Source organism: Homo sapiens, chromosome 8 (genome assembly GCF_000001405.40).
Source record: "Homo sapiens chromosome 8, GRCh38.p14 Primary Assembly".
In the NCBI taxonomy this organism is placed as follows: domain Eukaryota; kingdom Metazoa; phylum Chordata; class Mammalia; order Primates; family Hominidae; genus Homo; species Homo sapiens.
Window position 1 is genome coordinate 101,526,988 of NC_000008.11, and position 14,767 is coordinate 101,541,754.

Below are 14,767 nucleotides of genomic sequence, written 5' to 3' on the forward strand. Positions count from 1 at the left end.
CCTCAAGTATAGTTTAATGCCGCTGTCTTTATTCATGTCAGAAGCTTGAACTTTTGCCCAACATTAGTTTTATACCATTACTACAAATGTCAACAGAGGGAATAAGGCACATATATCTCAGTATTATTAGGGAAATAGTTTTAAACTCATAAACCCTTGAAAGTATCTAAGTGATTTCTCTAGGTGTCTGCACACCATACTATGGAAATTGTTGCTCTTTAATTTCTATATCCTATCTTTATCCTAGTAATTGTTACCCTTGAACTTTTAATAAGCATAAACTTATCTTTTCTATCAATATCAGGAGTTAACCATTATGTATTACTCTCCTTACGTACAAAGCAAAATCAACATGCTTTTTATTTTACCTCATTATTACATAAAAAATTTTTTTGTAGAGACAGAGTCTTGCTTTGTTGCCCAGGCTGGTCTCAAACTCCTGGCCTCAAGCAATCCTCCCACCTTGGCCTCCCAAAGCACTGGAATTATAGCTATGAGCCACTGTGCTGGGCCCACTACACCTTTTAAACAACTCTTCTCCTGTCACCTCTCAGGTGTTTTATTTTAGTTTGGTATTATATTTAAGAATTCTTTCTTAGTGGCATACATTTCATTTCTGTGATCAGAAATCAGCTACAATTAATATTTTACTGACTTATTTGATATTCTCTGATGGCTGTATCAATTTTCTTCTTTATCCATGCATCTCTTTCTTTACTTTGGCTGAAGGGATAAAGTTTTCAAAAGGGATATATGAGTGGAATCGTTTTTGAATCTTTTCACGACTAAACAGGTATTTTATTTTGCCATCACACTTTATTGATCTTTTGCTCTGTTTAGACTTTCATGTTCAAATCCCTTTCCTCTTGTCTAGCAGCATTTAGTGATATGGATGAGAAGTTTATTGGCTGGCAGTTTCTAGTTCTGTTCTGTTGAATGTTACTTAAGTTTTTTCCCAGTATTTGTAGCATTTTTAAATTTAATCTTCAACCCAAAAATGTCACCAGGATATGAATAGAAGTGCCACTTTTTCATTATTCTTTCCAACACTTCGGTGCCTTGCCAATACTCAAGTTTTTTTTCAGCTGTAAGACATTATTATTCTACTCTATTCTAGTCTTCTTTTGTGTATTTGTTTCTTCCCTTTCATCCTCTTCACTGCTTTCTTCTGTAACTCTTGTTAAATTGAACTTTATACCTGTAATCATCCTGCATACCTTTTAACTTTGTCTTATGATTTTTTGTTTGTTTAAAAACTGGACAATGCTTTGATTGCTCAGTTTATTAATTCATTTTGTGCTGTCTTTCCTATTCAGTCCTCGTACAAACTTTTATTTTTATTCTAAAAATCATGTAACTTGTTTTGTGGTTCTTGGTTTCTAGTAGCCTGTGCTTGTGTTGTAGGTGCAGTAGCTTCTTTTTACCCCCGTCTCTTTTCAGATTTTTTTTTTTTTTAACTAACAAGCAAAAAATCAAAAACAAAAACACAACAGCTTTAAGTTGGAACATCAATAAGTCAAATTGCTGCTGGAGTTCCCACATGTAGCTGGGGAACATGTGCCCTCATTGCAAGGCAGGAGGTAGGTACGTGACTGTGCATTTAGGTATATTTGTGACCGAGAAGAATCACAGAAATGGAAACCACTGGAGAACAGAAAGCAGCATGAACTTTTCAGCAGGCAATCCCATAGCGCGAGGCTCTTTTCCTATTCTTTGCCTCTGTATCCTCTGTGTTCCTTCTGGTTCCAGCTGAACCAGTGATAATCCCAAATCAGTCCTTCCTCCTTTTCAGTTTCTCATCATCTTCAGACTTTCTGGAGATTGAAGAGCCATTCAAACCAAATCTTTGAGCTCTTTCCTTTAGCTTATCCAGGTTCATGATAGGTTTGTTGTTAGATGACAGACCTTTTGTTGAAACTGAAGAAGTCCCAAACCTAGCTGCCCGGGCAGTTTTCTTACTTTACAAGCTCACGGGTACATGGACTTGTTCAGCCCTCTTCTGCATTCTCTCTCCCTGTGGTATTTCAGATGTAATTTTTACCACTTTCTTCTCTGCTTCCACGTCAACAGTTTTTTCAGGGAGTTCTTCCTCTTTGACAGGGATTTCTATGGGGCTTTGTTTCTTCTTCCTCTGTTTCATCTCCCAGTACATCTTCATTTGCCTCTTCAGCATGCCCTGAAAAATATGCCTGGAGCCAGCACTTTGGGAGGCCAAGGTGGGCGGATCATGAGGTCAGGAGTTCGAGACCAGCCTGGCCAACATAGTGAAACCCCATCTCTACTAAAAATGCAAAAATTAGCCTGGCATGGTGGCATGTGCTTGTAGTCCCAGCTACTCGGGAGACTGAGGCAGGATAATCGCTTGAACCCGGGAGGCGGAGGTTGTGGTGAGCCAAGATTGAACCACTGCACTCCAGCCTGGGCAACAGAGTAAGACTCCCTCTCAAAAAAAAAAAAAAAGTGCCTGGAGCCTTTTGATGGCATCTTGTTTCATTTCCTTGGTCTCCAAACCACAAGGAAGACATTCTTGCTTTAGTTCAGCAATCTTCCACTTATGGTGCACCACCGTCTTGGTCGCCATCTTGTTACCCCTCACTCCAGTAGGCCCCCACCCACTGCCTCTCAAGTATCTTCCTTTTAACATTATTTTCTGTATTTAGCATTAATTATTTTCCTCATAAATAACCTTTTTTGCTCATCTTGGGGCTTCTCTTTTACTCATGTAAGGTTTCCTTAAATTTCCTTACATTCTCAGTTCTCATATTAAAAGTGAAGAGTTAGACTGAAGACCTTTCAGCCCTGGCAGGGGGCCGCTCTCTTGATGGAAGCTCTGGCCACAGGCTCTGAGGATGCCTGGAGGGTCCTTTGTATATATACAAGTGAGGCCCAGCAGGGTAAGCTGGGGGTTAGACACACGAAAGGACTTTCCTGTTGCTTTAAGCTCATGTTTTTTGTCTGTTGCCTTTGTGGCAGTTTGAAGTTACTCTAGGTGTTTTACCATGTTATTTCTCTCTCTGGCCCTAGGAACCCCAAAGGCGGACTCCTCTGTATTTAAGAAGCCAACTAATGTTGTAGTTAGTTCCATTGGGCACACTGTACAGGAACTGGCTTAGCCATAGGCACTGAAGACTTGAGTTTTCCAAGCTCAGAGAGAAAAACAGTCCTCAAGCACACATTAACCCCTCCTGCACCAAAGGTGGGGTGCAGCCTTCTCAACTCTGGCTTTTCCTTTATTCCAGTCTCTTCTGCTTTCTATCCCCTAGAATTGCATTAACATTTCTTTTCCATATTGGCTGTAAACATTAGAGGTAAACCCATGAAATGGTGTTTAAATGGAAATCGGTCCTGCAGGCTTGTAAAGTGCTTTTGTGCTTTCTCTCTTACTGCTAGAGATTCAACTGCTGTAATTTCCTCAGAAAAACTGACTCTCTCTTTAATTCTCAAAGCTAATTTGGTTATAACATAATTCTTTCCTTTAAAAATCATATTTTTGTTTGCTCTTAAATATAATAGTTCCCTTATTTCCCAATTCTTTAATCTATATTTCTGTTACATGAATCATTTGCTATCATTTTTCTGCAGGACATTTAAAAATAGATGACCTCTAGTTGTATTATACTAAAGATAAATTAGGACTTGCTACCCATCACCCCATTCAATTCATTCAATAAATATGTGTTGCCTGCTTTCCTGCCTGATATGTACTCTCTAGATTGTTCCAGGACCTTGGAATTCTACAAATAATGTAAACTTGTTGTCTTTCTTCAGGGAGCTTACAAACTCCGCTTTTGCATAATTTCTCTATTACTCTGAATTTGGATATCATCCTCTGTTATATTGGTCTTTTGTATCCTGTCTGTTTATGAGTTTTCCCTTTTCAACTAACTTTTTTCTAATTGTGAAAATAGAGCATGGTCAAGAGTAGGAAATAGAGAAGGATGCATAAGAACTCAGGCTCCGAGGTTGTGCGTGGTGGCTCACACCTGTAATCCCAGCACTTTGGGATGCTGAAGCAGGTGGATCACTTGAGCTCAGAAGTCCAAGACCAGCCTGGGCAATGTAGGGAGACCTTGTCTCTACAAAAATAAAAAAATTAGTCAGGCATGATGGACCACTCTGGAGGCTGAGGTGGGAGGATCACTTGAGCCTGGGAGGTTCAGGTTGCAGTGAGCCATGATTGTGCCACTGCACTCCTCTAGCCTTCTAGCCTGGAGGACAGAGCAAGACCTTATCTCAAAAAAAAAAAAAAAAAAGAGAACTCAGGCACTTGGATGCAATGCTGATCTAATGCTGACTGCTACCTGAACCTGGGCAAGTTACTTAACACTCTATTCTCAATTTACTCATCTGTATGAAGGGCATGATATCCATATCTGACTCTAAGTTTATTATTAACATAACGAATACATGAGTTAACCCATGTGAGGGGCTTAGAACATTAGCTGGCATATAGTGGATGCTCAATAAGTAGTATGATGGTATTGTTGAAGATTACTTGACAAGTCAAAAAGTAGAAAGGAGAAAATAAAAATTCACCTATAATCATTGTCAACATTTTAGATTTTGATTTACACACACACACACACCACACACACACACTAACCAATTTTAGTCATTTCATAAGTTGCCATCTCTACAAATTCTCTCCATTTTTAAATTCTTTTCTTGTCCTCTTCCTTTCACTTTCTATTGTTATATCCTTCTCATTGTTTCTAGAGCTCAGTGGGTTACCTTTCCTGTAGCTCTTTAGTTTTATTTCCAATCCTTTTACTTAATAGGTGAAGTAAGAGCATGCTTAGGGCACTACAAAGCTGGGGCTCCCGAGAGGGGGTGGGGGAGAGAGAGAGAGAGACCATGCTTCAAGTAGTAGATCAGTATATTTTGCAATCAGTATCTAAAACGAAACCATCTTAATTTCAATGGACATAAATTTTGTTTTACAGTTTATTGTTTTTAAAAACTATGCACTTTATGTGGTGGAGGGCATTATAATATTTTCACTGAATTAATTGAATCTTCTCTTTCCCGAGCATAGCCATCTTTAACGTGAAGCTATCAATATCGTCCTGGGCTTATGGATTCATTTCACTTCTAACATGGAAAGTATCTGTTATCTCTTGTGATTTGCCTCTAGCAAGCACTAAAAGGAGGGATATTGCTGAAAGCAACTAGCAGTCAAACAATCATTTGTGGCATTTAAATTGTGACATTAACCCTGGGTAGGAAAATTGGTTCATTAATTTCCATTTGAAAGTCTTATTCTGTTAATGGGAAAAAGGCCAATATTCCAAAAGAAAAAAGTAGTTATCACATTTTGAACCTTTGCTCTTTCATTTTTGGTCTGAATATGGTCATTTTTCTGCTAGGGAGATGAAGTGATTACTTAAGTCAGTAATCAGCCGTAGTGAATCAGCTACAAGAAAATGAGACCAATCTCAAGTGCTCAAGACTCAGAATATAAACTATTTAGAGAGTAGAATTCAGCTGGCCGCGGTGGCTCATGCCTGTTATCCCAGCACTTTAGGAGGCCAAGGTGGGCGGATCACGAGGTCAGGAGTTCAAGACTAGCCTGACCAACATGGTGAAACCCTGTCTCTACTAAAAATACAAAAATTAGCTGGGCGTGGTGGCATGCACCTGCAATCCCAGCTACTCGGCGGGGGGGCTGAGGCAGGAGAATTGCTTGAACCTGGGAGGTGAAGGTTGCAGTGAGCCGAGATCATGCCACTGCACTCCAGCCTGGGGGACAGAGCGAGACTCCATCTCACAAAAAAAAAAAAAAGAGAGAGTAGAATTCATGTGCTCTCAAGATAAAGGCTATGCTTGTGTGTGTGTGTGAGAGAGAGATAGAGAGAGAAAGAGAAAGAGGTGGGGGAGAGGACAGTTGAGACAGAGTACATAGCATGAAATCCTGGAAATTATATAAATGTTTCATTACTTCTTCTTAAGGAAAGGGTAGTGGGTAGAAATTTCTTTTTGCCCCAAGTCAAGTCAGTTTTGGGAATGATGGACAACAGGTAGACGAAAGGAATTCTTAATATCAGGCCTTTGCTGATTGAAGTTTAGCCTTCCCCTCCAGTTACCTCAGGTCCAAATGTAAATATCCTTGGTTTCCTAGGTCACATTTAAGGAGAATAGAAGAATGAATCTCCACTTTTTTTTTTAAATTTGAAGGGGAGAGTTAAGAGGGAGGAGAAAGATAGTTCAAATTGGATTGATGCTTATTAAATTAAATTTATAATTATGCTTCCTAAAATCAAGGCAACTTACATTTGCATAGCACTTTATAGCTCAAAACCAACTTTACAAATATGCTGTGAATTGATTTTATGAAAACCTGAAGAATGCAGCTCCTCCCATTCTCTTATTAATATTTTAAGCCATAACTTTTACTTCAATTCCTCAATGGCAATGGAGCTTTTATTCATTCATTTAACAGATGTTAATTGACTACCAAGTATGTCGCAGGCACTGTTCAAGGTGCTTGTGATATATTCATGAACAAAACAACCCCAGCCCTGTGGAACTTAGGTTCTAGCGGAGGTAGACACACAAGGAACATTGACCATAATAAAAAAGTAAGTTACATTGTGTTTAAGGAGGTGATGGCTGTTATGGAAAAAAGAAAGAGTCGAGAGCTGGGTAAGGGAGATAGAAAGTTTTAAAGGAATTGGAAATTCCAGCATGGGTGGAAGCAGGTTGCTGCATTAAATAGGGTAGTCAGGTTAAGTCTCATTAAGGTGAGATTTGGACAAAAGCTTAAAGGAGATGAGAGAGCTAGCCTTAGGTATTTGGGGGAAGAACATTCTGGGAAGATGAAACAGCTGAAGTCAAGGCCTTAAGGTGGGACCAGTGCAGCAAGATGAGAATGAGTGAGAAGGAGAGTATGGGGAGAATAGACTGTAGAAGTAAGGGACCCATGATCCTGGGGGACCTGGTAGGTCATTGTAACAACCATCACTTCTATTCTAAAGGAAAAGGGGAGTCATTACAGAATTGAGCACGAGAGGGCATGATGTGATTTTGTTTCAATGGGATTTCTCTAGATGCTGTTTTGTTGAGAATAGACTGGAAAGGAGGGAGCGGGTAATCATAAAAGCAGGGAAACCTATTAGGAAACTGTATTCATTTTCTATTCCTGTGTAACATACTATCTCAAAACTTAGCAGCTAAACTAGCATACATTCATGATCTCATGCACTTTCTGAGGAATCTGGGAGCAGCTTAGCTGTGAGGTTCCGGCTCAGGGTTTCATAAAGTGGCAGTCAAGTTGTCATCTGGGTTCATAATTGATTCAAGACTTGACTCAGACAGGAGAGTCTACTAGGCTCACTCACCTGGTTGTGGGCAGCCCTCAGTTCCTCACCGGCTGTTTGTCAAGGCTTCAGTTCCTTGCCAAAATATGCCATGATATGGTAGTTTGCTAGCACAAGGGGATGGGGTGGGAGTAGGGGAGAGACTTACAAAGATGGAAGCTGCAGAGTTTTATTATCTAACTCTGTGGTAATATAATATCACTTCTGCTATGTCCTATTGGTCATATAGACCAACCCTGGTCCAGTGTGGGAGAGGACTCACGAGGGTGTGAATTCTAGGAGTCAAGGATCAATGAGGGCCATATGGGAGGCTGGCTACCACAGAGACAGTGCAATAATCCAAGTGCAAGATGATGGTGGCTTGGACCAGGGTGCTAGCAGTGGAGGTAGTGAGAAGTGGTCAGAGTCTGGATATATTTTGAAAATAGAACCAATGGGATTTTCTAATGAAGTGGATGTAAGAAAATGAGGAATCAAGTATGACTTCAAGTATTGCAACTAGAAGGGTAGAGTTTTCACCAACAGAGACAGGAAAGGCTGAGGGCAGATAAGGATTTAAAGTGTTGTGTGGTGGTGATTGAAGAGCAGATGTTTGGCTTCCCTATATTATTTATCTTGCTCTTCTCTAATCCTCATCACGGCCCAATTAGAGGGCACTACTCTGTGTCTAGTGCTCTGCCAGGTACATCACATGCATTTCTCTCATTTAATTTATCAGCTCTTTCACAAATGCGAAAGCTAAGATCCAGACAGGTTGAATCACTTGTTCTATGTGATAGGGCTGGTAAAGTTCTATATGATAGGGATTTGACTCAACGACCATCTCCTGTGGTCACATTCTGGATGTATTTTGTAGCTGTGTTACCCTGGACAACTTAGTTAACCTTTGTGTGTGTTAACATTTTCTACAAACAATCTGACACACTTTAGATGTAAGAGCCTAAGGCCAGTCTGAGTGTGTAGGTGTGTTAATTTACTCAGGGAGATGTGTGTGTGTGTGTGAATGCACTTGGGGATGAAGTAGAGTTTCGTGCTTCTAGAAGAAAGCCAAAGACTAAGCTAGAGAAGAAGGTTTTCCAGATCCCAGGGTGAAGCCAGGCTGTTGTGAATCCAAGGCAGGACAAAGGCCAGTGACTGTGCATGGGAGCTGCCGGGCTTTTTATTTGATGGAATGCCACTGTTTTGGTGTCATTCTTGGATCTGACAGCTCAGTGACAGTTTTCCTTTTTCTCTTTCTTCTTTTTTCTTTTTTTTGAGACAGAGTTCACTCTGTTGCCCAGGCTGGAGTGCAGTGGCTTGATCTTGGCTCACTACAGCCTCCGCCTCCCAGGTTCAAGCAATTTTCCTGCCTCAGCCTCCCAAGTAGCTGGGATTACAGGCGCGCACCACCACACCTGGCTAATTTTTTGTATTTTTAGTAGAGACAGGGTTTCACCAAGTTGGCCAGGCTGGTCTCGAACTCCTGACCTCAGGTGATCCACCCGCCTTGGCCTCCCAAAGTGCTGGGATTACAGGCATGAGCCAGTGCACCTGGCCTTCAGTGACAGTTTTCTTTGCATAGTCAGTCATCTTTGCATGATACAAATTAAATGGTAGATTATGTAATAAATAACACATAGGCTGTGAAAATTTTTAGCAAAGGGAGGCCCTGAAAGATTAAAATAGGGAAAATCCTGGAAAATTTTCTGGAGGATGGGATGTTGCAGCTGGACTTTGATAAGAGCACAATTTAGACAGAGAAGCAGGAAGGGAATTTCAGGCAGGGGAACAGTCTGAGCAAAGGTATAGAAGTAAGAATGGGCATCTTTAGGAAGCTGCAGAGAAAATGGCTTAATTCCTTAAATTAAATAAGTACAAGGAAGTAAATTTTGAAAAGTAGGTTGGAACCAGATAATGGAAGACCTTAAATGTCAGACAGAGGATTTTGGACTTGATGTTATAGGCAGTAAAGAGTCATAGTATACTCTGAAAAAGTTATGTTCTATGAAGATTATTTCACTAGCCTTCAATATGGATCAAAGAGGGGAAAGTTGAAGGCATGAAGAGATAAGACTGGAGCTGTAATAATAAATACGGTGATTGACTTCATGTAAGGGATAAAGAGAAAGAATAATAGCTAGCATGTATGCAGCTTTTATAGTGTGTCAGTATATTTAATTCTGACAAAAATAGTAGGAAGTGAATATCATTATTCTGTCTACATTGGGATACTTCTCCATTTTATAGGTGAAGAAACTGATACACAGAAAGGTTAACTAAGTAATCCAGGGTAACACAGCCAATAAGTGGTGCAGCCAAGATTTGCACCCAGGCAGTCTGGCTTCAGAGTCTGAATATTAAAACGGTACATAAGGTTCAGCCTTGAGTGACTGGGGACAGATAATGATGAGGAGTGCCTGGTTGAGAACTGATGATTAGCTTAGTGTTGAAGACATTGATTTTAAATTGACAGCAAGATTCTTTTTTTCTTTTTAACTTTCATTTTACATTCAGGGGTACATGTGCAGGTCTGTTATATAGGTAAACTCATGTCACAAGAGTTTGATGTACAGCTTATTTCATCACCCAGGTACTAAGCCTAGTACCCAATAGTCATTTTTTATGCTCCTCTTCCTCCCCTCCCCTCACCCCCCGCCCTCTGGTAGGCACCAGTGTCTGTTGTTTGTCTCTTTGAGTCCATTTGTTCTCATCATTTGGCTCCCACTTATAAGTGAGAACATGCAGTATTTGGTTTTCTATTCCTGTGTTAGTTTAAGGATAATAACCTCTGGCTCCATCCATGTTCCTGCAAAGGACATGATCTTGTTCTTTTTTATGGCTGCATAGTATTCCATGATGTATATGTACCACATTTTCTTTATCCATTCTTCTATTGATGGGCATTTAGGTTGATTCCATGACAAAAGGATTCTATGTAGAAATACAGAAATGGTTCTCAGGTACTATATATCTGTTAGTCATTAAAGTAGAGCAATGAAAGCTGTAAGAACAATGATGTAGAGAAATAAGAAAAATACCAAGGAATGGTCAGAGTTAAAGAAAGAAGAGGAGAACAGGTAGAACAGAAATTAGGAAAGAATGGTTGGCTAAAGAGAAGAACCACCTTAGCATAGTGTCTCACAAGTAAAGCAGGATTTTACAAAAGCAAAAAAATGGCCAAGAAAATTCAAGGAGTTAAGACCTGAAAACAGTCCATTGGACTTTGAGCTGGTTATTAGTAGAATTAGTTCTATGGAGCGTACTACTACTATCTAACTATTATCTGTGGAAGATCTATAATGCACCAAGCACTTCAAATGTAAATATCTGAGTGATTCCTTTAGAATAATATTATAAAATATCATGATACAGAGGAAGAAATGGAAGCTCAAAGAGACACCTGCTCATCAAGGAGATGAGCAACTCATCTAAATTCACTCATTGATAGAGCTGAGATTTAAACCGAAGTTACCCAACTCCAAAAGCATCCTCCCCCTATATCAAGACAAAAATTCCATAAAACACAAACAAACCAATGTCCTTGTAGAAATGGATATGAGAAGTTGATTAAAAGTAATAATTTGTGTGCATACTTCACCATCCTAATTTTTTCCTTTGTTATTTTCTTTTTTAAAAAAATTTCTTTTCTTTCCTTTGTTTTTGTTCTCTACAAACCCTTGTGTCTAGGGCTGATTTTCAACAGATCACAGTGAGGGAGCTGCCCTGTTACATAAGAAGCCCTGACCCGGAAGCAGATCATCCACTAATGGTTTAGAACGGGGTTTCCCATGAACATGCATTGCGTGACGGGCACTGTCCTAGTTTTTGTTTTGGATCCCAAGTGTCTTTATAAGTGGATTTGTGTCTGGATCTGTTGACCATAACTGCACATATCTTTAGACGGGGAAAATGTTATGTGTTAAGCTTCCTCTGCTTCTCCCCAGCAAAGCATTCCTGCATTTGACTGCTATTATACTCAGGGGAGCATGGAGGGGGCTGTCCAGGCAGAATGATCTGGAGCCTTGGAGACTGGCTGGTCTTGGTCTCAGTGGCACAGCTGCATGGTCCCTTTCATCACTTCAGCTGATGACTCATCTCTCAGCCATCTCCCAGCATCCACACAGAGAAGTCATGGATTAAAGAAAACGAACAAGAAAAAAAAAAAGTTGTCTGTGTGACATGGCCTTAGCCTTGCTGTGATTGCTCTGGCGATCCCCAAAATTTTCCTCCAAAGCAGGACCTTGGGATCGAGTTTACAGTTGCTGTTTACCGTTCTGTGTTTGAGGCTACCCAGGACATAGCCCACCTAAAGCTTCACAAAGGATATTTAAGAAGCGGACCAGAGCAGAATTAGAATTGCCCTTCCAAAAGAGCAATGATAAAACAGCTTCAGAGTGTTCCTAACTGTGGTGAAAGTTGTTCTGTGAAACTTTCCTTTCTTTACAAGTCTACATTTTTGCTCAGTGTACCAGAGAGATTATTCTGTTTTTATTAAATTAAACTTCATTCAACAGTGCTGTGTACCAGAGAGATTATAATTTGTGAAGAGAAAACCAAATTCATTGCATAGTTAAAGGGAAGAGCATAAAAGGCCCCTGTGGCTGCCAAGAATGTGAAAAGAAACAGCTAATAATGTTGTGATTTCCCAAAATACTTTTTCCACTGATCACGTAAGGATTCATCAACAATTTCATTTTAGGGGAAAGGCTGATGGCGCTCTTAAATTTATGAGCAAAGCTTTGTGCTAGGAAAGATGAAATCAGCAAGCTAAGAGACTCAGCAGGAGGGAGTAGGGATTTCAAGAAGGAAGATTTAGGGAAAAATCCCTCCAGTGAATCAGGACACATCTTAGTGTAAATCGAGACTTGGCTCTGATCCTTCAGCTTGGTGCTTCCTGCTAAACTTTTGGAATTTAGCCAGTGTTATAATTAACACCTCACCCCACCTGCACTCCTCCACAGCAATGTGTGCGTCTCTGAGGCATGACAGAGTAAAATCCTCATCCTTTTCAATGGTGTGATCACTCCCAATAACATGAAGTCCTTCCTGCAGGACTGGGCATTTTTGGAAGTGTGCATGCCTGTGCCTTCATGGGCAACGACTGAGGTTCCAAATCCTCTGTTTTACTCTCCAAGTGGAGGCTGCAGACCAGGCACCGAGGGTGGCCCCAACTAATCAATCGTGGGGGGCCGGTGACATTGTCACAGCCAGGGCCCACCACCTCTGCTACCTTCTTAGTTCTTTCTGGAGGCCTCATTATAGAACCTCAGGAGTCCACCAGCATATCCTGTCTCCAAATCCAACCCTGCATATTTAGAAGTTTTCTACATGGAAATGCTATTTTATCATTAGATTAAATATGTAAATTTTTCTAATGGACTCTCCAAAATAAATACAAATATGCTCCTTTTGTAAGAAAATCCCATTATTCTGCACTACCAAAGTATCCTTCACTTTAAAAAGCATTTCCCACATCTCACCATCTCAGCATTGACCAGCACATTCCTACCTATGCTTCAGCTTTGTTTAGAAATGTTGGCCCCTTATTTGTCCTGTCATTAGGTTAGTCCCCTCTGTCGTGTGCCCTCACAGCACCACCCATGTCCTTTCTCACACGCATGGCCCTGTGATAGTGATATTCTCTCTCTCTGGCAGGTACGTGGGGTAAAGAACATTATGTCACGTGCCACTCCATCCTTAACAACCAGCACAATGTCTGGCAACTATTGGGCTCTCAATAAATATTTAAAGAATATTGTTGAATGAACAACTTCAATTTCCCTTCAATTAATGATTATCTTTAAGACTTTTAAATTATACTCAACTTTACCAAAAATTGATATATCCACAAATTTTATGGGAACATAAAACTGTGCAGTGATAGTCATACCTGTTATTTGCAAAGTACTATGCAGTTTGCAGAATCCTATTTTATCAATTATTTTATTTGATCTTCATAAGCACATTGTAAGGTAAGTAGGCACTGAATTATTTAAGAAAGTGAACGTTAGACATTACCCAGCTTCTCACCACTGTAAATGGTGAACAAATACTTACTTCTAAGGCCTATACTACTTCATGTCACCACAGTGCCTAACAGTATGGTAGTAAGCCTGCCAACCAGGGTGTTTTCTCATGTATTCCAAGAAGCCTGATTATACCCTTGTAATCTAACTCATTTGCAATTGAGTCAATGTTCTCTCTTTCCTTCCAATCAGTTTCACCAAACCACTGGCTCAAAGAGCCTGACTCAGAGGCCTAGCGACCGGAATTCCACTCTGCTAAACGTGCATTTCCCATCTGCCCCACCCCAAACATATCTTACCAATGTCAGTGTCTTTTTTTCTGACCTGACACAAAAGCATGCATCATGACAGCACACAAAGGGCCCTTGACACACTTTTCATTGTGAGTTCACGCCAGTTCTCCATCACAAAGTGAGCTGAGGAACCATCTACCATTAGGAGATCCCATAGGAATGTCAGCAAAAATAGACCTCTTTTTTTTAGTCTTTTTTTATTTTCCATTTTATTTTATTTTATTTCTATATTTTTCATTTCAATAGCTTTAGGGGTACAGGTGGTTTTTGGTTACGTGGATGCATTGTATAGTGATGAAGTCTAGGCTTTTAATGCACCTGTCACCTGAATAGTGTACATTGTACCAATGTTTATTATATCACTCTGTTTGCCTTTGCATACCCATAGCTGCTTAGCTCCCACTTATAAGTGAGAACATGTAGTATTTGTTTTTTGTTGTTGTTGTTCCTGAGCTACTTCACTTAGGATAGTGGCCTCCAGTTCCGTCACTGTTGCTGCAAAAGACCTCCTTTCATTCTTTTTTAATGGCTGAGTACTATTTCATGGTGTGTGTGTGTGTGTGTGTGTGTGTGTGTGTGTGTGTGTGTGTACACCATGTTTTCTTTAACCACTCATAGATTGATGGGTACATATGTTTTTTTCCATATCTTTGCCATTGTGAATTGTGCTGTAATAAACATACAAGTGGAGGTGTCTTTTTAATATAATGACTTATTTTCCTTTGGGTAAATACCTAGCGATGGGATTGCTGGAAGTAGTGGTAGATCTACTTTTGGTTCTTTGAAAAATCTCCATACTGTTTTCCATAGAGATTGTACTAATATACATTCCTATCAACAGTAAATAACTGTTCCCTTTCCCACATCTGCACCAACATATGTTGGTTCTTGGCAAAAAGGGACCTCTTTTATGACTGCATGATCATCAGAAGTCCTTGGCAGTTGAATTTCTATTGATTGATGTTGGTGTTGCCTTTGCCAGCCTTGTCACATGTCCCTGCCATGTTACGATGTGCTGACATAGGTGTTAACTGAAATACAATGTCTCATTGTTCCATGTTGGTTCCATTTCAATGAACAAGCATATGAGGGCTAGGAGAGAAGTGACCAAACCTCTGCAGGCTCTGTTATTTGATAGCCGAGCACCCAGCAG

At 40.1% G+C, this 14,767-nt stretch overlaps 1 protein-coding gene and 1 pseudogene across 4 annotated transcripts in view; one reads left to right on the forward strand and one right to left on the reverse strand.

Annotated features, from left to right (window-relative positions):
* GRHL2 (grainyhead like transcription factor 2) overlaps positions 1 to 14,767 on the forward strand; it is a 188,762-nt gene that overhangs the window by 34,549 nt on the left and 139,446 nt on the right. The window lies entirely within an intron of this gene.
* Positions 1,430 to 2,604, reverse strand: LOC100131593 (SAP domain containing ribonucleoprotein pseudogene; annotated as a pseudogene).